Raw genomic sequence first — 27,777 nt, 5'->3', positions numbered from 1 at the left:
CACACACAATGTTTTCAGGAACAAATACACAGTTAAAGAATGCCTGTGTAAAGTTTAATTTTGCACACTCAAAGCGATCAGTCATTTTCCTTATAGTTCTAGCCTTTATACCATGTTTAGGATGGACTTTCCCATCTCAAGATTAGTAAAATATCCAGCAATATTTTCCTCTAGCACTTTCACAGTTGAATTTTTAACATTATATCTTTTCTTTCTATTTTATTTTAACTGCTGTTTGCTGAGCAGGGCTAATTCACAGGCAGTGTGCCTAGGGTAGCAGCCAACATTACATCTTTGAATCACCTTTTGAACCATCTGGATTTTATTGGGTTTGATGGAGTTATGCAGGGATCCAGTTGCACTTTCTTATAATGATAACAAACACATCAGTAATAATGGTAAACACTTATGGAGTGGTACCATAAGCACTTATAAGCATTTACATCCATTAACTCATTTAATCCTCCTAAGAGTCCTAACATTTATCCCCGTTTGACATAAGAATGAATACACTACAGCACAGAGAAGTTGAATACCTAGACCCACATCACATAGCCTGTAAATAGTGAACCGGTTTTCTAACAGAGCCTGAACTCGGAGGTCAAAATCCTAACCACCACTCACGCCTGCCCCTGGCCCCAAAGATCCTGACCTCACTGATTAAATAATCCCTCCTTATAACTCTTCTTTCTCTAAATTTTCTCCTAGCCCAACTTCCAGTCTTTTGCATACTTTGAGAATTTCTTAAGCAAAGCACATAGATAAAGCTTCACTTTTTGACCCATTCTGAGACTTTGCCTTCAAACAGGAGCATTATGGTCAAATTGGGCAAGACTCATCTTACTATTGTCATGCCTCTTGGTGGTTCAACTTCTGGAGGTTTCATCACTTTGCTGTCTTTTGCATTGTAGAGTATGTGCCACCAGATTCTTTTTTCTCCTAGTGATTTAGAACAGAGCTTCCACAAGCAGTGCTGGGAATGGAGGGTGCCAGGTAGTGTCCGGGGTGACCATCAGCTAAGAACTACTTCCATCATTTACCCATCATGCTATGCAAATACCATTGTTTTCTTGTCAGGGTCATGATGTGGGTTAGGTTAGGGAATGCTAATGTTGAATGTTTGAATCTTTTTTTTTTTTTTTTTTTTTTAAAGGCAGGGTCTCACTCCTGTCACCCACGCTGGAGTGCAGTGGTACGATCACAGCTCACTGCAGCCTCAACTTCCTGGGCTCAGATGATTTTCCCACCTCAGCTTCCCAAGTAGCTAGGACTACAGGCAGGCAGCACCACACTTGGCTAATTTTTTGTATTTTTAGTAAAGATGGGGTTTCCCCATGTTGCCCAGGCTGGTCTTGAACTCCTAGCTCAAGGGATTCACTTCACTTGGCCTCCCAAAGTGCTGGGATTACAGGCTTGAGCCACTGCCCCCAGCCTGCATCATATTTTTAATTATAGTCAAGGAGACATGGTAGACACATGGTGGCCATCCGCTATCCATACTCTTCTTAGTATCAAAGCTCTGAGCCCCATGGAAAAACTACATTTCTTAGCCTCCCCTGCTGCAAAATGAGACTACAAGGCTAAGTGTTGGCCAATGAGATAAAAGCACTGGTGTGAGAGCCTTTCTCAAAGGCTGCCTTCCCTACATCCTGGAATTCAGACATGATGGCTGGAGCTTCCGCAGCCTTCTTAGATGTGACATGACCTTAAGGATGGAAACGACATCTAGTATGGTAGAACTGAAGGACAGGAAGAGCATGGAACCCTGGGGACAGCAGGGCTGCACCAGTACTGCACAGTCTCCCTCTGAACTTCTTATACTTTAGAGAAAAATAAATTCTATAATGTGAAGCCACTGTTCTATACAGCCAAACTTAATCCTTACTGATACAGATAGTTACCTTTAAAGGTACTATCTGTACAGGCAAAGAGGTTAACAGACCAAGAGGTTACAGGCTAAGAGGTTAACCTGTATTTTCCTAATTATCCACAGCAAAAATAGAATAATCTTTTTGCACTTAATCTCACCCATCTCCCTCCAACCTCTTGGGTTTTACTGTTCTAATCTGGGAGTTCAGATGAAGTTTCTTGTTTATAAATAATTAATTTCTTTTTTTTTTTTTTCTTTTTTGAAACGGAGTCTTGCTCTGTCACCAGGCTGGAGTGCAGTGGCACAATCTTGGCTCACTGCAACCTCCGCCTCCTGGGTTCAAGCAATTCCCCTGCCTCAGCCTCCCAAGTAACTGGGACTACAGGCACGCACCACCACGCCAGGCTAATTTTCGTATTTTAGTAGAGACGGGTTTCCTCATGTTGGCCACGATGATCTCAATCTCCTGACCTCATGATCCGCCCGCCTTGGCCTCCCAAAGTGCTGGGATTACAGGCATAAGGCACTGCGCCCAGCCCAAATAATTGATTTCTTAGACTTGCTTTCTGTTGTCCAAAAACATTTCTACCCAATGTTTATGATTAGACTCTGTAAGGCTTTCAAGGTAGCCTGAGCAGCTGCCAGAGTTCAAGGCCCACATCCCTCCCCCTGTCCTGACTGTCCTGTCTTCCCCTTCAAAGGTGGCTCTAACTAGGGGACAAGCAAAGTTAGCTGGCAATCAAGGGGTAAATTCTGGAAAAGTTAAGTGCCACATTAGGAAAACTTATTTTATTAATAGTACAAAATCTCATGAAATCACAATGCCAACTGTGCCTCTACCATTCAATGCATTCATCTGTTTTATTGTTAATCTAAATTATTTCCTGAACAGGAAATTCTGTTTAAAAATGAACAATGGTTACTTTTTCAAAACATCAAATGAGATCATCTGGATATTAAAAGATTTCAAACTCATCCAAAAAATATTAGTCTGACAATATGCAGTTAAGAAAAACAAATATACCCTGACAGTAAAATGATTCCACATTCACTTGAACCAATTTTCCAATAAACACAAACATAAATTCAAAATGTGGAAAATTCCAAAGGACAACCTACAAAGCAGAATACAAATAAATAAATACAACATTATAATTTTAAAAAGTAATTATTCAGGTGATAGAGTCACTATACACAAGACTCCAGTGCACATAAAGTGTCTATTTTGTTATTATTATATTTTTATTTTTTATCTTAAATAAAGAAGAGGTCTCACTATGTTGCCCAGGCTGGTCTCAAACTCTTCTTGTTGAATTGATCCCTTTACCATTATGTAATGGCCTTCTTTGTCTCTTTTGATCTTTTTTGGTTTAAAGTCTGTTTTATCAGAGACTAGGATTGCAACCCCTGCTTTTTTTTTGTTTTGTTTTCCATTTGCTTGGTAGATCTTCCTCCATCCTTTTATTTTGAGCCTATGTGTGTCTCTGCACGTGAGATGGGTCTCCTGAATACAGCACACTGATGGGTCTTGACTCTTTATCCAATTTGCCAGTCTGTGTCTTTTAATTGGGGCATTTAGGCCATTTACATTTAAGGTTAATATTGTTATGTGTGAATTTGATCCTGTCATTATGATGTTAGCTGGTTATTTTGCTCGTTAGTTGATGCAGTTTCTTCCTAGCATTGATGGTCTTTACAATTTGGCATGTTTTTGCAGTGGCTGGTACTGGTTGTTCCTTTCCATGTTTAGTGCTTCCTTCAGGAGCTCTTGTAAGGCAGGCCTGGTGGTGACAAAATCTCTCAGCATTTGTTTGTCTGTAGAGGATTTTATTTCTCCTTCACTTATGAAGCTTAGTTTGGCTGGATATGAAATTCTGGGTTGAAAATTCTTTTCTTTAAGAATGTTGGATATTGGCCCCCACTTTCTTCTGGCTTGTAGAGTTTCTGCTGAGAGATCTGCTGTTAGTCTAATGGGCTTCCCTTTGTGGGTAACCCGACCTTTCTCTCTGGCTTCCCTTAATATTTTTTCCTTCATTTCAACTTTGGTGAATCTGACAATTATGTGTCTTGGGGTTGTTCTTCTTGAGGAGTATCTTTGTGCCGTTCTCTGTATTTCCTGAATTTGAATGTTGGCCTGCCTCGCTAGGTTGGGGAAGTTCTCCTGGATAATATCCTGAAGAGTGTTTCCCAACTTGGTTCCATTCTCCCCATCACTTTCAGGTACACCAATCAGACGTAGATTTGGTCTTTTCACATAGTCCCATATTTCTTGGAGGCTTTGTTCGTTTCTTTTTACTCTTTTTTCCCTAAACTTCTCTTCTTGCTTCATTTCATTCACTTAATCTTCAATTACTGATATCCTTTCTTCCAGTTGATCAAATCGGCTACTGAAGCTTGTGCATGCGTCACATAGTTCTCGTGCCATGGTTTTCAGCTCCATCAAGTCATTTAAGGTCTTCTCTACACTATTTATTCTAGTTAGCCATTTGTCTAATCTTTTTTTAAGACTTTTAGCTTCTGCTGGGCGTGGTGGCTCATGCCTGTAATCCCAGCACTTTGGGAGGCCGAGGCGGGTGGATCACCTGAGGTCAGGAGTTCGAGACCAGCCTGACCAACATGGAGAAACCCCGTCTCTAATAAAAATACAAAAAAATTAGCTGGGTGTGGTGGCACATGCCTGTAATCCCAGCTACTTGGGAGGCTGAGGCAGGAGACTCACTTGAAGCCAGGAGGCAGAGGTTGCGGTGAGCCAAGACCGAGCCATTGCACTCCAGCCTGGGCAACAAAAGCGAAACTCTGTCTCAAAAAAAAAAAAAAAAAAAGATTTTTAGCTTCTTTGCAATGGGTTTGAACATCCTCCTTTAGCTTGGAGAAGTTTGTTATTACCGATCGTCTGAAGCCCTCTTCTCTCAACTCGTCAAAGTCATTCTCTGTCCAGCTTTGTTCCGTTGCTGGCGAGGAGCTGCATTCCTTTGGAGGAGAAGAGGTGCTCTGATTTTTAGAATTTTCAGCTTTTCTGCTCTGGTTTCTCCCCATCTTTGTGGTTTTATCTACCTTTGGTCTTTGATGATGGTGACGTACAGATGGGGTTTTGGTGTGGATTCCTTTCTGTTTGTTAGTTTTCCTTCTAACAGTCAGGACCCTCAGCTGCAGGTCTGTTGGAGTTTGCTGGAGGTCCACTCCAGACCCTGTTTGCCCGGGTATCACCAGCGGAGGCTGCAGAATAGCAAATATTGCAGGATGGCAGACGTTGCTGCCTGATCCTTCCTCTGGATGCTTCATCTCCGAGGGGCACCCAGCTGTATGAGGTGTCAGTCGGCCCCTACTGGGAGCTGCCTCTCAGTTAGGCTACTCGGTGGTCAGGGACCCACTTGAGGAAGCAGTCTGTCCATTCTCAGATTTCAAACTCCATGCCGGGAGAACCGCTATTCTCTTCAAAGCTGTCAGACAGGGACATTTAAGTCTGCAGAAGTTTCTGCTGCCTTTTGTTCAGCTATGCCCTGCCCCCAGAAGTGCCCCCAGAAGTTCAGCTATGCCCTGCCTCCCTACAGAGGCAGGCAGGCCTCCTTGAGCTGCAGTGGGCTCCACCCAGTTCGAGCTTCCCGGCTGTTTTGTCTACCTACTCAAGCTTCAGCAATGGTGGACGCCCCTCTCCCAGCCTCCCTGCTGCCTTGCAGTTTGATCTCAGACTGCTGTGCTAGCAGTGAGTGAGGTTCCGTGGGCGTGGGACCCTCCAAGCCAGGCGCAGGATATAATCTCTTGGTGTGCTATTTGCTAAGACCATTGGAAAAGCGCAGTATTAGGGTGGGAGTGTCCCAATTTTCCAGGTACCATCTGTCATGGCTTCCCTTTGCTAGGAAAGGGAATTCCCCGACCCCTTGCACTTACTGGGTGAGGTGATGACCCGTCCTGCTCCATGGGCTGCACCCACTGTCTGACAAGCCGCAGTGAGATGAACCCAGTACCTCAGTTGGAAATGAAGAAATCATCCATCTTCTGCATCACTCACGCTGGGAGCTGCAGACTGGAGCTGTTCCTTTTCGGCCATGTTGGAACCACTCCTCCTGGATCTGGTCTCAAACTCTTGAGCTCAAGTGATCCTCCCACTTCAGCCTCCCAAAGTGCTGGGATCACAGACACGAGCCCAGCCATAAAATGTCTGTTAAGTGTACCCTCGAATAGCATCGATGACCACTCAAGAACGATCCCCCACCACTGCTCTCCAAGGTTAGGGGCAAGCCTGTCGGAATCAAGAACAATGACAGTAGAAATCTTTGAAAGCGTATTAAGAACGCATGGCCAGGCATAGTGGCTCATGCCTGTAATCCCAGCACTTTGGGAGACTGAGGCAAGCAGATCACTTGAGGTCAGCAGTTTGAGACCAGCCTGGCCAACCCAGCAAAACCCTGTCTCTACTAAGAAAAAAAAATACAAAAATTAGCTGAGTGTGGTGGCACACGCCTGTAATCCCAGCTACTCAGGAGGCTGAGGCAGGAGAATCTCTTGAACCTGGGAGGCAGAGATTGCAGTGAGCCAAGATCACGCCACCGCACTTCAGCCTGGGGGACAGAGGGAGACTTCATCTCAAAAGAAAAAAAAGAATGCAGCCACACTGTGGGAGATGCGAGGAGACTGAGGGATGATTGCTAAAGGGAAAGGAGCTTTTCGGGGGGTGAATGAAAATGTTCTGAAATTGAACAGATTCACCAACTGAACTGGTGATAATTGCACAACCCCACGAACATACTAAAAACCACTAAATTATACACTTTATATGGATGAACTGTATGAAGCATGAATTATATCTCAATGAAGCTGTTACAAGAAAAAACGTAACCACAAGAAATGTGAAAGTAAGTCCTGCTGAGCACACGTACTGATAGAGGCAGGAAGCAGAGAACTCTTCCTAGGCAGACAGGGGAGGGTCCCTGGAGAACTTTCGAGCTGCCAAGGTCATTGTGCACAGGAGGCTTGCCTAAACATGCCAGCAGTGAAAAATTCAGTCCCTTAACACATGCGCAGTAAGGGAAATAAATCAATGTGGAATGGCTCAGACTAGGGGCCCGCATGCACACTGGAAGGTCAGGGTAGAGCCGCCAGAAACTCACACCTTATACAAATAGGGAACACAGCCCCATCAGCAGACAGAGAAGCCCTTGTATTCAACTGTGAAGGGAGAACCAGCAACCTGCTTTCAGGACGCCTCTCTCTGAGTGTCCGTGTGCCTACTTCTCCCTGGTCATGAGACAAGAACCTTGACCTTGCTGGGCTAATGAGCAAAACATCCAGCATCAGTACCATACCCTTAACACATCAGCAAATCTCTGGAAAACAGAAGATATCACAAAAGATAACTCTGAATCCATGAGAAAGATTAAATTGCCTTCCACATCAACTGTTTGGAAAACCCAAGGTAAAAGAAGCTTCTAATACCTTTAACAGACATTTCTTCTGAAGATAGGGTAAGGTAGGTAAAATGAGATTTTGGCTGGGCGCGGTGGCTTACGCCTATAATCCCAGCACCCTGGGAGGCCAAGGCAGGCGGATCACTGGAGGTCAGGAGTTCGAGACCAGCCTGGCCAACATGGCAAAACCCCGTCTCTACTAAAAATACAAAAATTAGCCAGGCATGGTGGTGTGCGCCTGTAATCCCAGCTACTCGGGAGGGTGAGGCAGGAGAATCGCTTGAACCTGGGAGGCGGAAGTTGCAGTGAGCTGAGATGGCATCACTACACTCCAGCCTAGGTGATAGAGTGAGACTCCATCTCAAAAAATAAATAAATAAGTACGTGATATTTCATACTTAAGAACAATAAGCTTTGGTTGCCGGGATTTTCAATGACCTGAAACGACTGTTTACAGCTTAATAACGCGGAGTAAATAGGTGGAGGATTGCTGGACTCACCAACAGCTCTTTGAATACTATTTGGCTTCCCAACTAAAAAGAGGTGGTTCTCTCTTAAGTTGGTGTCATGACAGAGGTCATTCCTTGAAGGTCTAGGCCAGGAGTCTGCAAACTATGGCTTAAGGGGAAACCCAGCCCTCTGTTATTTTCATAAAGAAAAGTGTTTCCCAAACACAGCCACACCCATTCCTCTAGGGAATGTCTATGGCTGCTTCATGTGCTGCAACAGCAGAGACAAGCAGTTGAGACAGAGACCTTCTGACCTGCAAACCTAAAAGATTTACTCTCTGGCCCTTTACAGGAGTTTGCCAACTCCTGCTCTAGGCCGTAAGAGTCATGTCCTTCCCCTCCTCAAGCAGGGCTAATAGAAGAAGCCAATAATTCAGAGGTGACTGGCACCACGAGGCTTTCCTGAAAGCAACTAATGTACCTCGGCCATTCAGTGCCACTCCTGTCACCTAAGAATATTCTAAACTCTAAGCTGTTCACTTTGTCCACAATTCTTCCTGCATCCTTCCTGAATCACTCTTGCTATGGTTCACTATTTGCCCAATATGGGCAAAATATTTCACAACTCTGTGACTTCAGGCTGGGCCACATGATTCGCTGTGGCCGGCATAACTCCATGTCCAGTGGGAGGCTCTAAGCATGCCTGTGTGGCGTGGTTGGGTCTGTCCTCTTGAGCTCTTGTCCTCTGCCCAGAGGAGAACATGTCCTTAGGTAGGTCCCAACTTTGTGGCCCAAATCCCCAAATAAGAGACAAACAAAGCCAATCCTCAGATGACCCATGTCTGTGAGCAAGAAATAAATGTTGTAGGAACCACTAGGATTTGGAGGCTGTTAGCACTCCTACAGCAACACTTGACTAACACACAGCTAATTTAAAGTCCTGTAAAGTTGGCCAGGCGTGGTGGCTCACGCCTGTAATCCCAGCACTTTGGGAGGCTGAGGCGGGTGGATCACCTGAGGTCAGGAGTTCGAGACAGCCTGGCCAATATGGTGAAACCCTGTCTCTACTAAATATACAAAAAAATTAGCCAGGTGTGGTGGCAGGTGCCTGTAATCCCAGCTACTGGGGAGGCTGAGGCAGGAGAATCACTTGAACCCAGTAGACAGAGGTTGCAGTGAACCGAGACTGTGCCATTGCACTCCAGCCTGGGCAACAAGAACAAAACTCTGTCTCAAAATAAATAAATAAAGTCTTGTAAAGTACAATCACTGACAGCTCGAATAAAGTTCACTACATGGGAATGAAATTACACCCCCATCAGAATCTCCTTACATGAGTCTACACAAGAAAAACATGGCCACACTTGGCTATAATGACACCGTCCCTTACAAAAACTACTTCTGGAATTAGTTCCAGTAAACAGAGTGGATGGGAAGAGAATAAAGGTAGATGGAACAAGGCAGGAGAAAAGATGAGATGGGAGAAGATTTCTTTTCTTCTACACAACTAAGTTACCTGCCTCACCTGTCACCATTTTTTTATTTAAGAAAGACAAGGTCTCTTGCTCTGTCATCCAGGCTGGAGTGCAGTGGCACAATCATGGCGCACTGTGGCCTCTACACCCTGGGCTCAAGTGATCCTCCCACCTCAGCCTCCCAAGTAGCTGGGACTACAGGGCATGCACCACCACACTGGCTAAGCTTTGTATTTTTTGTAGAGATGGGAGTCTCACTATGTTGCCTTCATAGTGGCTGGCTTCAAATTCCTTGGCTGAAGCGATTCTCCTGCCTCGGCCTCCCAAAGTGCTGGAATTACAGGTGTGAGCCACTGGTCCTAACCCTGGCAGTCTCTGCCTACGATTAACTCCCCTTTCCTTCAATCCATTCCAAAAGTTGCAAAAACCTGTCTCCTGTTGCTAGTGCATCTCTGGCCCACTAGATGGTGCTGCATCCTCACCTGGACAGGCCCATTCTTTACCACACATCCCAGGCAGCCTGAATTCAAATTAAAGGCAAAGGAAGAGACACTGGGCACAGAAAACTTCCAGGCCCTGTCACAAAGTCAGCTTTGCCCCTTCTCATTTCTACTCACATAAATAGGGAGAAACAACAGTTAAAATAGCACTGGGCAATGAGTTCAAACCTGAAGGTATGACAACCTGAATGGTCTACGGTCAGGATTTTTCAAAGCTGAACAAAAGAGCATAATTATATTTATGAGATAAGCTGAAACCGAACATGTTGGTTTGGGAAAGTGAACAGAATTCCTACTAAGAGAAGAACGTCAGAGCCCCTCAGCATGACTCTCCCTCTCTGCGTGGCTGGGGTTTGAAGGAGGGGCCCCTGCCCACAGGCTTAGCTCACCATCGTCTTTCCAACCATTTCCATCTCTCCCACTAAGAAGGTTCAGTTCGTACCACGCAAACGTTCCATCATCTAGGTCAAAATCAAACTAGGGTTTAAACCTCCTGGAAGGTCAAGATTAGGGTCTTGCTCTGAGCTGCCGCACTCAGGTCTGGAGTTGGTGCCAGCATCCTCTGGCTCCTTGGGCCACCTCCCCCTCTCATTTCCTCCCATTTGCCTTTAAAAATCCTTGCTCGCTTGAGACTCAGGCCATCCAGCTGGGTTACCCCCGCCTATGCCCACTCGTCCACCCATCAGCAACTCCGCCCCGGTAGAGGTTGGCGGCCGTCCTCTCCACCGAGTGCAGCCACTCATCCAGGCTGCCACTGCCACCCCTACACCTGACACCACCTGACTCCCCAGCTCTCAAGTCTGGGACCTCCACGGCCCTCCTATCACATGCCACTTCTGCCAGCCACACCCGGGCCACCTCTGAAATCTGGAATTTAGATACCCCCTCCCTGACTGCAACCCCCTTCCCCCACAGCTCTCCCTCAGTTATCCCCGCTATTCCATGGAGACCCCCAGCCCCTCAATTCCTCTGCATGGCCTCTACCGCCCACTTCCTGTCCAGCTGGAATCCCCCAGCCCTTTGGCTCCAGCAACGCTGGTGCCTAAGGCTCGGCCTCCCTCACTCTCGTGGGACTTTCACGGCACCCATACAGCAAAACCCAATTCTGGATGAAACCACCTGTCCATCTTGCTCTCCCTGCAACTGGGCTCCAAGGGGTACACTGTGGACTCCCATGCTCAAAAGGCCCACCCTGCTAGGCGCTCCTTCTTTTCCAACACCATGATAGAAGGTAGCAGAGTAGGAAGTGAGCCTGGACCAGATAAGGCCTCAAAAGGGCAGTAAATTTGTAAATTAGGGCAAAACCACCTTCTAGGCAGCTTCCAGTCACCCCAAAGGGTGAGCTGGCTGGAGCTCTCTGTTCTCTTTCTCCCTCCCTCTCTCCCGCAGGTCAGGTTCCCTCCACAGAACTCACGGTCTTCAGCCTTCCTGCTTCACGTTATTGATATCCTCACCTCTTCCTTCCCATTTAACTCCAGCTAATAATTCAAAAGACTTACTGCACACTCACAACCTGCAGACTCAACTGGGAAAGGGTCAGTTGACCACAGGCCCAACCTCCCTTCCTCCATGTGCTGGAAAAGCACAAAAGAACATTAACCCAGTACGACCCGTGAAGTGCCTGCTGCCTGTACTTAAGAAGCTCTACTGAATGCTGCAAAGCTTCTAAAGGCGTCACCAACCTAGATCCACCTCAGCTGTATAATTATTAAAAAGAAAAAAAAAGAAAGCCATTGTTTCTTCAAGGAAGAGGAGGTGGAGAGAAGCAGAGAAAGGAGGGGAGTGGGGATGGAGGAAGAGAAGAAAGGAGACAGCAAGGGGAAGGACAGATATCAGGGTGAGGAGGAGGGGAGGGGAGAGGAAACAGACAGAAAGTGGGTAAGGAGAGATGGAGGAGAGAAGAGGGTGAGAAGAAAAAAAATGAAACGAAGGGAGGAAAGGAAAACTTAAAGGTCCTCCAAGATACTCCTCCGGAAATAGAAACATCACTGGACCCTGGTGTTCACATAGTTGTCAGTATCACAGCAGTTTACAAGGTGAGACCTCCACAACCCTTCCCAGAGCACACTCTGATGGACCAACCTATCAGTATGTGTTTGGTCTGTTTTCTAAGGCAGATGTCTGGGAAATTTAAAAACTCAAATCATAAACTGTGTGGTGAGTCCTTGATATAAAGTTCAGGTACGCCCAGCAGGTGCCGCATGGTATTCAAAATCCAGAATTCGAAATCCAAGCCTACCAGGCAGTGATGTGCTACATGAGGGATGGAAAGGAAAGTATAAAAATAGGATATAAATAGTAATTAGAATTTTGGAGGCAATCACTCCATGAGCTAAAAGTAGAAACTGTTAAGCATTTATCTCAGATCACAGAAAAGACAATAAAAATTCCTCCAGGAAATACCGAAAATGCTCAGCCTCTACACACTGAGGAACGTAAATCAAGATCAGGGGCTGCTGCCGTTTATACACCTCAGCTGGCAAAGAGCAAATGTGCTCATACCAGGGGTGCAGACAGTGAGCGCCCACACACTTCTCCCACATCGTCTGAACACACACCATATACAACCTCTATGACTCACTCCATCAAATTACAGTCCCCAGCCTAGGAATTCACACAAGTACATTCATTACTTATTTGTTTAAATATGTGGGAACATGGCTATCCCCAACCCAGTGGTATTTGCAGAATACTGGAAACAATCTACTTGTCTTACAATAGGGAATTAATTAAATCAATCGTGGGATTTATAGACAATGAAAAATAGGCAGCCAGCAAAAAGAATATGATGGATGTATGCTAAGTGGAAAGGTCTCCAATATAGATTACTGAGGAGAAAAGGCAACAATATGTTTAGTATATGTTCCCGTGTGTAGAAAGCTTTCAAAGCAGGGGAGGGGACATACATACCATACAAACGCATGCACAGAACATTTTTGGAAAGATAAGCAACAGTCATTCCCTTGGGAGGAAAGGCAGAGGTCTGGGAATAAGATGAAGGTGGAAAACCTCAAAGTGTATTCTTTAAACTGTATGCATTTTTCTTGTTGCACACTGTTTAAGCCAATGCTTCTAAGAGTGAGTAGGAATGGTGCTTGAGGCACCATTTAAAATGCAAGAACTGAAAACAACTTACAGCACCCATCAATGGGGGCTGCTGCAGTGGTTCTGTCTTGGACCCTTGAGTAGCCAGCATGCTTCACTGCCTTTGTGGCTGCCCCCTTCACAGCAATTCTACCTGCAGGGGCAGGGCCTAATTGCTCATTATGTGTTCTAATGAGGCCACGTCCCCTCAGCGACATTTGAAATACAAGCTATGTCATTTTTCTTTAGTTTCTCCTTTATAGTACGGTAAGGCATTATACTGATTCTTTTAAAATTATGTGTTTGGCCATGCGCGGTGGCTCACGCCTGTAATCCCAGCACTTTGGGAGGTCGAGGCGGGCAGATCACTTGAGGACACGAGTTCGAGACCAGCCTGGCCAACATGGCGAATCCCCATCTCTACTAAAAACACAAAAAACTAGCCGAGTGTAGTGGCACACATCTATAGTCCCAGCTACTCAGGAGGCTGAGGCAGGAGAATCACTTGAACCCGGGAGGCAGAGGTTGCAGTGAGCTGAGATCACACTACTACACTCCAGCCTGAGCAACAGAGCAAGACTCCATCTCAAAAAAAGATAGAAATAAAATAAATAAAATTATGTTTTTAAGAGGATTCGTTATCTATGAATTTCATTTAAGGGTAACAAAAAAATGAATTACAAAATGCTTCTTCTAAAAAGAAATATTAGGTATTCCAGGACTGAGAGCTGCTGAGTTTTCCTAGCCTGTTCAGGCTGCTAGAGCAAAATACCATAAACTGGTGGCTTGTCAACAACAAACATTTATTTCTCCCAGCTTTGGGGACTGACAAGTCCAAGATAAAGGCACCACCAAATGTCTGGTAAGGGCTTGGTTCCTGGTTCACGGATGGCACCTTCTCACTCTGTCCTCACAGGGTAGAACAGGCTAGCTAGCTCTCCAAAACCTCTTTTATAAGGCCACTAATCCACTCATCAGGGCTCTGCCCCTGTGACCTAACCACCTCCCAGAGGCTCCACCACCTGATACCATTGCACTGCTGATTAGGTTTCAACATACTCATTTTGGGGAGACAAATATTCAGACCACAGCCTGGTTTAATTAAATGACTGATGATGATGATGATGATGATGATGATGACGATGATAAAGCCAAACAATGGGATATCATGTCGCTATTTTAAAGAATAAGGTAATAGTATGTGAATTCATTTTAAGTAATATGGTTAATCATCTTACAATGCAGATCAAGGAATAGGATATGGTCCCATCTGTGTTTTTTAGAAAATGAATATGTGCATAAAAACTTCTTGGAATGATTTTTTTACCCATTAAACTGCACTGATGGTAGAGTGAGAGCTGCTCTGCACTGACTATATTTTGGTACACTTTCAAGTTTTACCACGTGCATGTGTTATTTTCATAATTTAAAACCCCATTTAACAGTAAATGAAATTAGTAAAACAGAAAAAAAATGAAGAACAGTAACTTAAAGAGGGTCAGAAAACAATGCTGCCGGGTCTAAACCTCAAGGATCCCTATTTTATACAAGAGGTTAAGCTGCCTACTCTGTGCCTCCTCAAACGTGAAGGTGGTAACAGTACCCACCTCAGAGCTGTGCTGAGGACAACATGAGTTCCAGGAGCCACACTTGGAAACCTGCCAGGCACAGAGCTACTCCTCAGTAAATGGCAGCACCATTAGGATCTGTGAAGGCTAACTGTATAATATGTGTCTCCTTGACTGGGCCATGGGGTGGCCAGAAATTTGGTCAAGAATGATTCTGAATGTGTCTGTGGTAGTGTTTCTGGGTGAGATGAACATGAATAAGCAGGCTGAGTAAAACAGATGCCTCCTTACTGTGAGTGAAGTGGACCTCATCCAGTCAGCTGGGGTCTGAATAGAGCAAACAGGCTGACCCACCCCCAGGGTCTTCAGGACTGGAACACCAGTTCCCGGGCCTCAATCCTGTCAAGCCTTTGGACTGCAACTATACCATTGGGTCTCCCAGGCCTCCAGCTTGCCAACTGCACATCTTGGACTTGTCAGCCTCCACCATCAAGTAACACAATTCCTTGTAATACATTTCGATATATGTTTCTCCTATTGGCTCTGTTTCTCTAGAGAAACCTAGAACAGGATTTATAACATTATATTTCTTCCAGATCTAGTTATAAAGTTACACCTTTGCCGGGCACTGGGGCTCATACCTATAATTCCAACACTTTGGAAAGCTAAGGTGGTAGGATCACTTGAGGCCAGAAGTTCAAGACCAGCCTGGTCAACACAGCAAGATCCCACTGCTACCAAAAAAAAATAGCCAGGCACGGTGGCTCCAGCCCATAGTCGCAGCTACTTGGGAGGTGGACGTGGGAGAGTCACTTGAGCCCAGGAGTTCAAGATTGCAATACACCATGACTGCACTGCACCACTGCACTCCAGCCTATGTGACAGAGTGAGACTCTGACTCTAAAAGTAAAATAAAGTTTCAGCTCCTGATAGTTTCAGCCTGACTTGCTCAAGTTTTTCAGTGTTTATGAGAGATCAGGGCTCAGTGAAAACAGAGAAGTTTCTGACTCCAAAGTTCCCCCTGGGGCCATGAGTCCCAGACTCACACACCAACCCAGCTGCTCAGCCTGAGCCTGGCATTGGTGCACCCTGAATCCTCTCAGTCACTCCCAGTCAACGTTCCTACAACAGACCTTGGCTGAGCAGGAAGGTGCCGAGGCCCATACCTGGCCACTCTGCCAAAAACTGCCATTTTTTTTTCCTATTATAATTTATTATTTGCCAGCTTCCAAAAATAGTTTGGGGTGAACAAAGATTGATACATTATATACATGAAAAGCTTGTTTCGGCCAGGCACGGCGGCTCACGCCTGTAATCCTAGTACTCTGGGAGGCCTAGGCAGGCGGACTGCCTGAGCTCAGGAGTTTGGGATCAGCCTGGGCAACATGGCAAAACCCTGTCTCTACTAAAAATACAAAAAAATAGCTGGGCGTGGTGGCGCATGCCTGTAATCCCAGCTATTCAGGAGGTTGAGGGATGAGAACTGCTTGAACCTGGGAGGTGGAGGTTGTAGTGAGCCAAGATCATGCCACTGCACTCCAGCCTGGGTGATAGAAGTGAGACTCTGTAAAAAAAAAAAGGAAGGGGAGGGGAGGGGAGGGGAGGGGAGGGGAGGGGAGGGGAGGGAAGGGAAGGGAAGGGGAGAAAAAAGAGAAGAGAGAAGAGAGGGGAGAGAAAAGAGGACAGGAGAGAAAAAAATTTGTTTCAAGTGCAGAACTAAAACCAGTTAGGAGAAGATAAAAATATATCAAATACTTGAGAACTATGGCCCCAAAATCACATGGAAAAAAACTTACAAATGACATTTTAAATAAATTTCACAATTTATGTCAAAAACCTTGTGATAAATATTCTACCTACTCACCTAGTCATAAGGGAACTGAAGGGTAGGAAGATTAGCTGGTGGCCCCCAAATCATTTATAGCATATTTAAAAGGCAGAGGTGAATGTTTCTGTGGTTTTGCAAAGATCAAATGCTCTCTCTAGAAATTAGCATAACAGGGCCCCTTTCTGCATTCCATCTGCAAAAACAAATCAACTGTGAAATAAAGGAGATTCCACTAAGAGAAGGAGAAAAAAAAAAACTTCTAAATTACACATTTAGAAAATATGTGTTATTCCCTACATTGTAATTTACATTTTCTCACTCTGTTGTAAAAGGGATATATATTTCACTGTCCATTCTTTTCTGTTTCATTAATATAGCCAAATAAAAGACCCATTTAGATTATAAATTTTCAATAGAAAACACAAATAAAAATTATACTAGAGAGAAATTGACAAGGCCTTAAATTTAATTAATAAGATGTGTAAGAATTCCATAATGTTTTATTTGAGCATGTTTTCAGAGGATAAGACATCAAGTTTTATGGCTTAAATCAGTGATAGAAAAGGAAAAGATCCTGGGTCAGGCATGGTGGCTCACGCCTGTAATCCCAGCACTTTGGGAGGCCGAGGCAGGGGGATCACTTGAGCCCAGGAATTCAAAACCAGCCTGGGCAATACAGTGAGTCACGAAATAACATAACATAACATAACATAACATAACATAACATAACATAACATAACATAACATAACACAACACAACACAACACAACACAACACAACAAAATAAAAGGAACAAATTCTAAGCCATGGCCCTTTGATGAAGAGTCCTCCCAGGCAGGGCTACTCCTGTTAGCAGATTTTTCCTAGGCAATTCTCACTCGGTTTACAGCTTCTCCTTTACACCCTGGCCCACCTCTGTGCTCTGAGGGCAGGACCAGTCCTCTCTCTGACCCCAGGAATTAACATAAACCCCAGTAAAAACCTGGCCCTGGGTGCACGCTGCTTCAACACACAAAAATAAGTACGATTGCCTCAGTAAGATGCATGTTTGAAGTGTCTTTAGGCTTATTCAATAAGATTTACATGTTTTAAAGCCTAAAACTGACTGGAATGGAACAGGAGCTCACTTCTCTCAGGAATTAACTGTTTTCTGGCCCAGACAGCTCTCAGGAAGCAGCGTGTAGACAGGACAGAAACCAGATGGGTCATCAACCACTGGACTCTGACCAGCTTAGAGGAAGTGAGAGGTGTCAGCCCCACAGCAAGAGACACAAGCCACAGCAGATCTGATTAGCAAGCCCTCCATCACTGGGGTGTGGATCCGAGTCCCAGGCCCAAGCATTTAGTAAAGGACAAAAAAGAAAGGGAGGGTGGAAGAGAGGGAAACGGGAGAGAGGGAGGGAGACAGTCTAACTCTGTCCTTCACCTTCTGAAAAACTCCTTGCTGACCCAAGATACCAGGTTAGCATCTAAGAAATCAGGATAAAGACAAGACATAGGATTAGAGAAATCAGAGCTGGAGAGGCGGAGGAGGCCTTAGAAACCCTGTCCACCCACTGCAGAGAACTGTGAAGGGAAAGGGAGTGGCAGTGCAGGGGGTCTGGGCTCAACTCAGCCCTGTGCTCATGCCCTGCAAGTGTCACTTGCACCTACTGAGCCTGGGCAAGGGGACAAGGGGACCTGGGAACGGGAGATGGGGGGGTGGTGAGGGCAGTAGTTGTGTCTCTGAAGTCCCTTTGCTCTGCCTATCATTCAACATGGCAATTTCTCTACCACATGACCATGAACAACCTCCCAAGCAGCACGGAGCAAGAGAGAGACAGCTTCTCCTGTGGTCTTTTCTCCTTTCCGACCACACCACAAAGAAAACAGACAGCAGACAGACCTGGCAAACAAACTTACCACAGGCGTTTGTCCGAATGAGCTTGCCGTGGCAGAGTCCTGGCAGAGGCTGAGCCCTGACGGGCTGCCCGAATTGAAAAACCAATGCCATGTGCAGACATAAACTCCAAAGGCACTTCAGAGAACAGAGAGAGCCTCCATGAGAGCTCAGCCCCGGCAGTACCTCGCACAGCCACCCTCCCGTGCCTTCCTCAGCAGTTTTCTGAGTTTGCTTGTTAGGGCAAATCCTAAGATTGTGAGCTGTCCTGGAAGCACAATGGGTTATGTAACTCCAGGCAGCCTGGGAACCCTATCAGCTCATCTTGTTAAGCCACCCCAAACAGAAAATGACGCACCCAAAAATGTGATACCTCTAGGTTGGGGGAAGGGGAGTAGCAAGGAGAACGGGGCTTTGTGATGGGCATTCGGTTTTGCCTAAAAATTAAAGTGGAACAAAAAGTCTGCTGTTCATCTCAGGGCTTGCTGGGAACTGGGGGAGGAGTGAATTTATCAAGGGCTGAATGCCAAGCAGTGTCCTGAGACTGCACTTGGCAAAGCCCTGGGAGGCCACAGATGCATTCTTGGGGATAGTCTAGGTCTCTCGGAGAACTTTTTTCCATTTAATGTCTTCCTTTCAATGACTGCCTAATAAAACTTTAATCCGAGCATGTTCTCCATCACCTGACAGCCCATCCCTTAAACGCATAAGAGTGTCTGTGTTTACTCTCCTGTTTACCAAGCCAGTGCTAAACACAACAGCACCGAGCTGTTTCTCAGCTTTCCTCTGGTCCCAACAAAGAACCCCCAAGTCACCACATCCTATAGGGTTTGAAGTTTCAGCACTACATTCTGCCACTTCTTTGTTGTGTTTTTTGTTGTTGCTGTTTCGTTTTGTTTTTTTGAGAGAGTCTCACTCTGTCGCCAAGGCTAGAGTACAGTAGCACTGTGTCAGCTCACTGCAACCTCCATCTCCTAGGTTCAAGCAATTCTGCCTCAGCCTCCCAAGTAGCTGAGATTACAGGCGTCCGTCACCATGCCTGGCTAGTTTTTATATTTTTAGTAGAGACGGGGTTTCACCATGTTGGCCAGGCTGGTCTTGAACTCCTGACCTCAGGTGATCTGCCCGCCTCGGCCTCCCAAAGTGCTGGGATCATAGGCGTGAGCCACCACGCCCAGCTGTGAAGTTTCAGCGGTACATTCTGCCATTTCTTTACCCTCCACTGTCACATTCAAAGAAAGTGAAAGCACTTTAACAGGCTGGATGCTTCCTGGATTTCACTGGTACAGATGCCACTAGAATCCCAAGGATCAATTCATGTGTTTGGACAAATGTAGATGCGGTTGGGTCATCGCCTCCTCCACAAAGCCCTCGTGGTCTTCTCCTGTCCTTTCCCCTCCAAGGTTCAGCCTGGCACCCTCCTTGGTGCCCTACTGTGCTGTGCTTATCATTGTGCTAACCTCGGTGTACAGCCAATTTCTACTCACTCATCTGTCTCCCCAACTAGACTAAATTCTTAGGCAGCAAAGAACCCTTGCCCTGGGGTCCTACAGACCTGGATGCAACTCCTGCCACTCAGGAGTTTCACCAAGGTGCTGAACCTTTCGAGATTTAGACTCTTCACTTACACAAAGAGGATAATAGTACTCACTGCACAAATTGACACAATTGATACACCCAACAAATGTTCACTGAGCGCTGGCCACAGGCAGGCACTACGTTAGTCACTGGATTCAGGAGTGTGCAAAGTAGACACAGAGTTTGCCCTCCGCGACTTTAGTCTACTGCAAGTTTGGGAGACAAAACACAAATACAGTAGTTCAGCAGATGGTTAAGTTTGGGGGAAAAAATTAAACAGGAAAGGGAGATGGGGAAAGGTGAGGCAGATCACTCTGTATTGGGGGGGGGTCACAAAAAGCATCAAATAAAATGTCACTTGGAGAAGGAAGAGGGGGTCATAAGGATATCTGGAGTTAAGGCAATCCAAAGACCCTGAGGCTGGATGTGCCTGGTGAGTTCAAGGTTAAGTGAGGCGGCCAGTGTACCTGGAGCACGGAGGGCACAGAGGAGGCAGGTCAGCGGGGCAAAGAGGGATTCCTGTCATTCAGCCCCTTCCTTACAGGTCTCTATAGAAGGGGAGCTCACTGGAAGTTTGGAGGAGAGTTAAACCATCTGATTGTATTAAAAGCCAACTCTCATGGTTGAGCGGAGAAAGAATTTTAGGGAGGCAAGGGTAGCAGTAAGAGGCCCCACTGGAAGGCCAGTGCGGTCATCCAGGTGTGAGATGGGGGTGGCTGGGACACAGTAAATGCTGGGTAGATTCTGAACATACTCTGAAGATACAGCCAACAGAATTCTTGACAAACTGGGGTATGAATCGCAGAAAGGCAGAATCACAAATGCCTCCAAGGTTCTTGGCCTGAGCAACTAGAATAATGAAAGCACCATTTACAAGGATGGGGAAAACCCTAAGAAAAGCAGGTGCAGGTGGAAACCAGGAGCTCATTTTTGGTCATTTGAGTTTGACATGCCTGTTAGACATCTAAGTGGAAACTCATGTGGAGTCAGTCTGAGACATCTGGCCTTAAGGAGGAAGGGCCAGGCTGAGTACAGAAACCACCGAGTGGCCAGTACAGAAGGCGATTTTAAAACCTGTGTGCTGGGTGAGATCAAGTGCTGCACAGGTGCACACATAAGAGCAAAGAGGCGGAAAGGCTGGGCCCCGGGCCCTTCAACGTTCCCAGGCTTGGGAGAAGAAGAAACGCAGCCACTGAGGCAGAAGAACAGGGAGAGTGTGGGGACCCAGAAGCCAAGTAAAGACTGTACTTCCAGGACACAGGACTTGGCAACAGTGTGAACTACCACTGAAAAGTGAAGTAAGGTGAAGGCAGAGGACAGACCCCTGGACTGAACCAGGCTGTCAGTGTGGTGGGGCATGAGCCTGCCTGCAGTGGACTCCAGAGAGAACAAAAGAAAAACTAGAGTAAGCAAACAGAAGAGCAGAGACACTGGCCTGCGGGAAACACGGGACTGAGAAGGATTCTATTTCCGAAGAGGGAGATCATAGCATGTTTCTGCACTAATAAGAAAGACCCAAGTGCAAGGGGAAAAGAATGATGCAGTAGAGAAAAGGGAGATGTTGGAACTGTGTCCTTCAGGGGGCAGGCAAGTGGGAGAGGGACTCAGTCACAAGCGGAGGACAACACATGTGGGCCACTTAACAAAAAGGGAGAGGAGGTGTGTGGGGGCCTAGCACAGCAGCTAGGCACCAGGCTGGGACCCCCGGCTTTCTCTGTGCCTTTCTGTATCCAGGAAACCCCTGACACACAGGAGGTCCTCAAGGCTTAACTGGTAACACAGAACCAAGAGAAGCTACTGGAAGCCAACTTGCATATATTAAGCTGTCATCAGGCATTACTTCAAACAGACAAACAAAAGCAAACACTGCAGACAAAAATGAGAAATTAAGCAAACTTCTATATGAATGCAACTGGATTGAGCTATAATTTTGCCACTTGCTGCTGTTATGCACACCATCCTACACCATTTCCATTGAGAGCCCTCTCTTGTGCTAGCTTCAAGCACTTGTCTCAATGCTTCCTTGGGGAAAATAAAAAAGCAATAGCTCTACTACTAAGTGCCCGCACAGATGTTAGGTGATTACCACCTGGGACACTGAGAGTTATGACTGACACAGGTATCTGTAAAAATCCATGTCTGTGCAAATCCTGATGGTGTACAAAGGGCACTCCATGTAGTTTTCTGTTTTTGCATCCCACAATGACAGTGCATGTTATTCCCACTACACCTGTCTTATATCTGAAGAAGCTGAGTGCAAAGAGAGAAGGAAGGGTTCAATACACTGAGTGCCTGTGATGGGCCATGCTTGCTGCTCAGGTTTGGATGTTACCATCTTTAACCTTCATGACAATTTAGTGAAATGCTGTCTACCTCTCAGTCAGGATAGTAGGTCAACAACTGACACAAGTTACAAAATGGTTCACTGGCAGAACAGGTTCTGGATTGGAGGTCTCACAATCCGAAAGCTCAGAGTCTTTTGCACTTTGGTGGTTCCTCTCCACATACCTCCCCAAGACCCTCCCATGTGGCTGCATTCCTTCCCTAGTCCTCAGTGACTGAAACCTCCCTCCCTTCCTCCCTGGCAGGGAAAGGGCCCCCATACCAGTAATGGTGCAGGCATCCCGGTACCCTCTGTAGCTGGGAGCATCTTCCACAGCCTCGCTTATGTAGTGTTCCTCAGGGATGCCCAGGCTGCAGGCTAGGACTGCATGGTTGCATGCCTCCGAAGGGGGCACGGAGTTGGCCAAAGTGTCGTCGTGCAGAGCTGTGGCGTCCAGCTTGGCAGGTTTCACGGGGAGGTGCCCACTGCCATCGGGGGCCCCACTGCCAGAGTCTGGGGCAGTTGGGCAGATGGCCCCCGGTAGTTCTGGTGCACCAGCAGGGGCTCCTTATAGGGAATCTATGGGACAATTGAAAGAGAGGGGCACAGTTAGAGTCTATCGATAAACCTGGACAATCTTTAGAAAATGAGGGCCCCGGGATGACGTGCGTTCAGACTGCGAATTCTGAAACGCGTTTCTCTCAAGTCAAGGCATCTCCAATCACATTGCTTAGTTTCAATAAAATAACTGCAGCAAAGTTCCATTCAACTAATCAATATTGACCAAAATGTGGAGCACATGGCTTCATTTGCTTACTGAAACCTGCCTTGAAGCAGCTCTAAGCAAAGAAACACACTGGAGCACAGCTAAAACCTGTATTCCTACAGGATTTATACACACAAAGAGAGGTAACATTTTTATTTGTATATGGAATTACATAAGATATGTTTCTCTTAAACTCTTTCAACCACAATAACTTCTCAACTCTCTAAGAACTTTAAGGTATGCCCCTACCTTAAGCTACAGTGAGAAATTAGGGGACTCCTTTAAGAACCTGATGAAAATGGCTGGACACGGTGACTCACTCCTGTAATCCCAGCACCTTGAGAGGCCGAGGTGGGCGGCTCATTTGAGGTCAGGAGTTCAAGACCAGCCTGGCCAATATGGTGAAACCCCATCTCCACTAAAAATACACAAACAAAAAAAAAATTAGTCAGGTATGGTAGCGGGCACCTGTAATCCCAGTTACTCAGGAGGTTGAGGCAGGAGAATTGCTTGAACCGGGGAGGCAGAGGTTGCAGTGAGCTGAGATCATGCCACTGGGCTCCAGTCTGGGCAACAGAGTGAGACTCATCTCAAAAAAAAAAAAAGAAAGAAAAAGAAGAATCTGATGAAAACTACAGACTCACCCTCATTTAAAATCTGACTAGGATGAAAGATAACTTCTGAGAAAAGATGGCATGTGACATAGGCTGCTGAACACTCCGCTCTGCGCCGGCAACAGCACACCTACATGCAGGCGATTTCCCACACATTTCAGGAGTGCCGCTGCCTCAACTCCCAGCGCACCTGCACACACATCACATGTGTACACACAAAACGTCAAACAGGAGCTTAATGAAAAAGGAAACCTACAAAACATTCCTCAGCACAAGAGATCTCAAAGTGTGGTCTGAGAATCCCTGGAGTTTCCTGAGACTAGTTCAGAGGGTCTACAAAGTCAGACACTCTCGCTCTCACTCTTTCATGGATGTACAGTGGAATTTTCCAGAGACTACATTATGTGTGATGATGCCACTGCTCTGAAAGCTAATTAATGGAACTTTCATATCCGTGTGGTTTTACATCTTATGTTTCAATTTCTATTACAATACATATGAATCAACAGAATCATTTAAATAAAAATGCTTTAGGAGGCTCAATAACTTTGAGGCGTCCTGAGACCACACCCACAAAAAAAGTGTGAGAACCACTGCTCTAATAAATGATGCATTATCGTTTGTTTAAAAAACACATACACACAAAAAGAGAAAGTTAATAGACATTTCCCCCAACATGGTAGAGTCAGTTCTGAAAGAAAACTACAGCCCTGAATCTGTGACCTTTTTCCCAACAGGTTTATTTACCAAAATACACCAGGAATTCCTATTACAGGCGGAGTATCCCTTAGCTGAAATGCTTGGGAACAGAAGAGTTTCAAATTTTGGATTTTTGACTGGGCACAGTGGCTCACATCTGTAATCCCAGCACTTTGGGAGGCCAAGGCGGGCAGATCACTTGAGGTCAGGAGTTTGAGGCCAGCCTGGACAACATGGTGAAACCCCATCTCTGCTAAAAAATATAAAAAGTAGCTGGGCATCGTGGCGCATGCCTGTAAACCCAGCCACTCAGGAGGCTGAGGCAGGAGAATCACTTGAAACTGGGAGGCGGGGCTTGCAGTGAGCCAAGATCATGCCACTGCACTCCAGCCTGGGCAACAGAGCAAGACTCTGCCTCCAAAAGAAAAAAAAATGATTTTTTTTCAGATTTGGGGATATTTGCCTTATACTTACCAAATGAATGTCCAAAATCCAAAAATCTGAAATCTGAAATGCTCCAATGAGCATTTCCTTTGAGTGTCATGTAAACACTCGAAAAGTTTCAAATTTCAGATTTTCACATTAGACATACTCAGCCTGTATAAATGAACTCAGCCCAGGCAATAAACTTCCTGCCCTCATTAACATGAAAAAATAAATATGAAAATGGGAAGGATGGGTAGGAGAGTCTGTATATCCCTGGTGAGAAAAGAAAGTTAACAAGAGAAGCTTGGAACCTTTAGGAATTTCTGCAAAACAACATGTAGATAAAACTGGATTGGCATAAGGAAAAAAAAAAAAAAGAAAACGGGATTGTCACGCCTAGTCAGTGACTCAAATACAGATGAATGGATAAGCTGCCTCACTAGAAAAGCCTATAATCCTCAAGAAGAACCCAGAACATTCTAGACAGCAGAGGGCTGAGCAGGATGAACTAGAAGACCCCCAAGAGTCACCAATGATGGTCAAGGGTCCAGGATGGGAATTCACCGGCTGAAGCCAAGGGAAGCTGGGCACTGCCACAACCCACCCCCAGTGGGGCCCAAGGGGGCTTCTCCATGCTGGGCAAGTTGTGATTCTTGGTCTGGAGACTGACTTGCTGACTAGAATCAGTGCATGAAACTCCATCAAGCTGTACTCTTTACAATTCACACACTATTTTTACACTTTTTTAAAAATATGGAGTCTTACTATGTTACCCAGGTTGGTCTCCTGGGTTTAAGTGATCCTCCTGCCTGAGCCTCCCAAGTAGCTGGGATTACAGGTGCACACCACCAAGCCCAGCTCTCATACACTTTCTTTGTATGTCTATTTCAATTAAGTGATGAAAAGATTAGTGAATGCAGATACCGAGTCTATAAATTAGCTTGAGAAGTCATCCCTAAAGCAAGAAGATAAAAAGGCACACTGATGAGAGTTCCAGAAAAAAACAAAAAAAGCTTAAGACAAAAAGAGTAAAGTATATAAAAACATTAATTTTAAAATGATTTTCTAGAGGTGAAGACTTACACCTTTAAATCAAAAGGTTCTACACCAAGACCCAGACAAAATCAATGAAAAACTAATAATAAACTCTTGGATATAATCTAGTAAAAATTTTAAATTCCAAAGATTTAGATAAAAATCTGACAAACATTAAAAAGGTATCCCCACATCTCTACATGCCGTACCAGTAGGATAATTCCTCAGAATTTATTTATTTATTTTATTTATTTTATTTATTTATTTTTTTAAAGACAGGGTCTCATTCCCATCACCCAGGCTGGAGTGCAGTGGCACAATCACAGCTCACCGCAGCCTTGACCTCCCGGGCTCAGGTGATCCTCCCACCTTAGCCTGTAGCTGAGACTACAGGCGCACACCACCATACCCGGCTAATTTTTGTATTTTTAGTAGAGATGAGGTTTCACCATGTTGCCCATGCTGGTATGGAACTACTGGACTCAAGTGATCCACCTGCCTTGGCCTCCCAAAGTGCTGGGATTAAAGGTGTGAGCCACAGCACCCAGCCAGTTCCTCAGAAATTTAAGTGAAAGATAGTCACATAAGACTTCTATACCCAATTAAGCTACTGTTATACACAAAAACAATTGGCAGATATTTAGAAACTCAAAGACCCTGATGGTCCTGAGGGGATCCAAGTCTGCTGATGACACCTCATGGGCTCTCACTAACACAGGTCACCATAAAGAACTCAAAAGGTGAGGAAGACATGGTAAAGTAAAACTGGCAGGGAAATTAAACCGGGAACACTTAAAATCAACATGTAAATAATGCACTTCATTCACAGACCTAAAGCAGATAGCCCAAAAGAAAAATGGGCAAAGGATATAAAAATTCCCTCCCCCTGCCAAAACACAACACACATACACACCCAGTTTAAGGAAACTTCACAGTGATTTTAAAAAAACAACAACAAAGATTTAAAAAATATAACGATGCTCAAGTTCACAAGTGATTTAGGAAACTTATAGTCTTATGTATTACTGGAATAAGGCGAGGAGTATACATTTGGAAGAACAGCCTGACAAAATTTACTGTAGCTCTCGGGCTCAAGTATATATAGGTCAAAGATGTATGGCACAGTGAAATGCTACAACCTAACAAGCCACAACAGAGGATCGAGTCATTAATTATGCGACAGCTATCAACAAGTCAACCAAGCCAAGAGGAAGCATCACAACAGATATTAATGTATCAACATAGAAAGATGCTGTAGGCAGAAAAACAGTAGATGATGAATGTGGTCTTGAAAAGGTTTTAAAATGCATTAACAAATTGAACCCTCATTCAAGCCTTCTTTAACTTGTACTTAGACATATTCTATCTGATCCATACACAGAAGTTGGAAATACTTTCTCACTTTGCAAAATGCAATTGTTCTTCTGAAAACTAAGACAGTTTCATTTAAATCAATATGATTTTGGTTTTTTGTGTTTTTTTTTTTAACAAAGGCTCTAATATGTAAAGATTTCTCTGGTTTTTGTTTGTTTGTTTGTTTGTTTTTTGAGACAGGTTTTGTGCTCTGTCTCCCAGGCTGGAGTGCAGTGGCGCGATCTCGGCTCACTGAAGCCTTGGCCTCCTAGGTTCAAGCAATTCTGCCTCAGTCTCCCAAGTAGCTGAGACTACAGGCACGCACCACTACGCTAGGCTAATTTTTTATTTTTGATAAAGACGGGGTTTCACCATGTTGGCCAGGCTGGTCTCAAACTCCTGGCCTCAAGTGATCCACCCACCTCAGCCTCCCAAGGTGCTGGGATTACAGGCGTGAGCTGCCAGGCCTGGCCCTAATATGTGAAGATTTCTTAAAGAGGTTTTACAACCAAGCTTTATATAACTTTCGCTTTCACTACCTATAAAATGAGGGAGATGGCCTAAATCATGATCAATAGCCCTAAATCACTACTGTTTCTCCTCCTAGTATCGATGTTTCCATTTATAGCTGCCAGACACTTAACCCAGAAACATACTGCTACAAAAGAAATATTTTAAGTATAAGCACTTCCTGAAAAAAACAAAATTTGGAGACATCAGCAAATGCTCACCTCACTCAAGACTCAAAAGGGAAACACAAGCCACAGTTCTGAAATCCAAAGAACATTTTACATGTACAGCAACTGGCAAAGCTATTCAGAAGCCTGAGAGGCCCCTCTTGAAATGACAAAACTAAGCTTTCACCCAGTAAATTCAAGTGGAAAACAACCAAATTTCTATTCGTAGAAAAACAGTTATAAATTAT

The 27,777-nt window shown here is 45.1% G+C and overlaps 1 protein-coding gene and 1 long non-coding RNA gene across 25 annotated transcripts in view, besides 2 other annotated features; both read right to left on the bottom strand.

Annotated features, from left to right (window-relative positions):
* The window catches only part of TRAK1 (trafficking kinesin protein 1), a 212,798-nt gene that overhangs the window by 116,249 nt on the left and 68,772 nt on the right, over window positions 1-27,777 (bottom strand). For 11 of the 24 annotated variants that reach the window (XM_024453400.2, XM_024453402.2, XM_024453403.2 and 8 more), the window contains exons 1-2: window positions 18,432-18,461; window positions 18,082-18,196 (exon numbers count right to left, since the gene is read on the bottom strand). In XM_024453400.2, coding sequence (XP_024309168.1) covers window positions 18,082-18,172 — 91 coding nt within the window. In that variant the 5' untranslated portion in view covers window positions 18,173-18,196; window positions 18,432-18,461. Of the gene's footprint in view, window positions 1-16,215; window positions 16,390-18,081; window positions 18,286-18,431; window positions 18,462-22,241; window positions 22,539-22,974; window positions 23,144-27,777 lie in introns of those variants that run through there. The other 13 variants (XM_047447718.1, XM_017005909.2, XM_047447722.1 and 10 more) reach the window with 6 other exon arrangements.
* On the bottom strand, window positions 300-6,231 carry LOC124906231 (uncharacterized). The gene is made up of 2 exons (XR_007095889.1): window positions 5,759-6,231; window positions 300-5,310 (listed from the first exon to the last, which is right to left on the bottom strand). It is a non-coding gene; the product is annotated as an uncharacterized LOC124906231 (long non-coding RNA).
* Window positions 10,704-11,526: an enhancer, noted in NCBI's record as "H3K27ac-H3K4me1 hESC enhancer chr3:42139608-42140430 (GRCh37/hg19 assembly coordinates)". NCBI's record gives its function as "activates a minimal SCP1, AML or CMV promoter by ChIP-STARR-seq in naive and primed H9 embryonic stem cells {active_cell/tissue: H9 hESC(naive and primed)}" and the evidence as "EXISTENCE:reporter gene assay evidence [ECO:0000049][PMID:30033119]".
* Window positions 14,357-14,656: an enhancer, noted in NCBI's record as "active region_19733". NCBI's record gives its function as "activates an Ori minimal core promoter by ATAC-STARR-seq in GM12878 lymphoblastoid cells {active_cell/tissue: GM12878}" and the evidence as "EXISTENCE:reporter gene assay evidence [ECO:0000049][PMID:35858748]".

The sequence above is a fragment of the Homo sapiens genome, chromosome 3 (genome assembly GCF_000001405.40).
Source record: "Homo sapiens chromosome 3, GRCh38.p14 Primary Assembly".
Classification (NCBI taxonomy): domain Eukaryota; kingdom Metazoa; phylum Chordata; class Mammalia; order Primates; family Hominidae; genus Homo; species Homo sapiens.
Note: the sequence above shows the minus strand (reverse complement) of the source record. Positions and strands in the feature narration are given on the sequence as shown.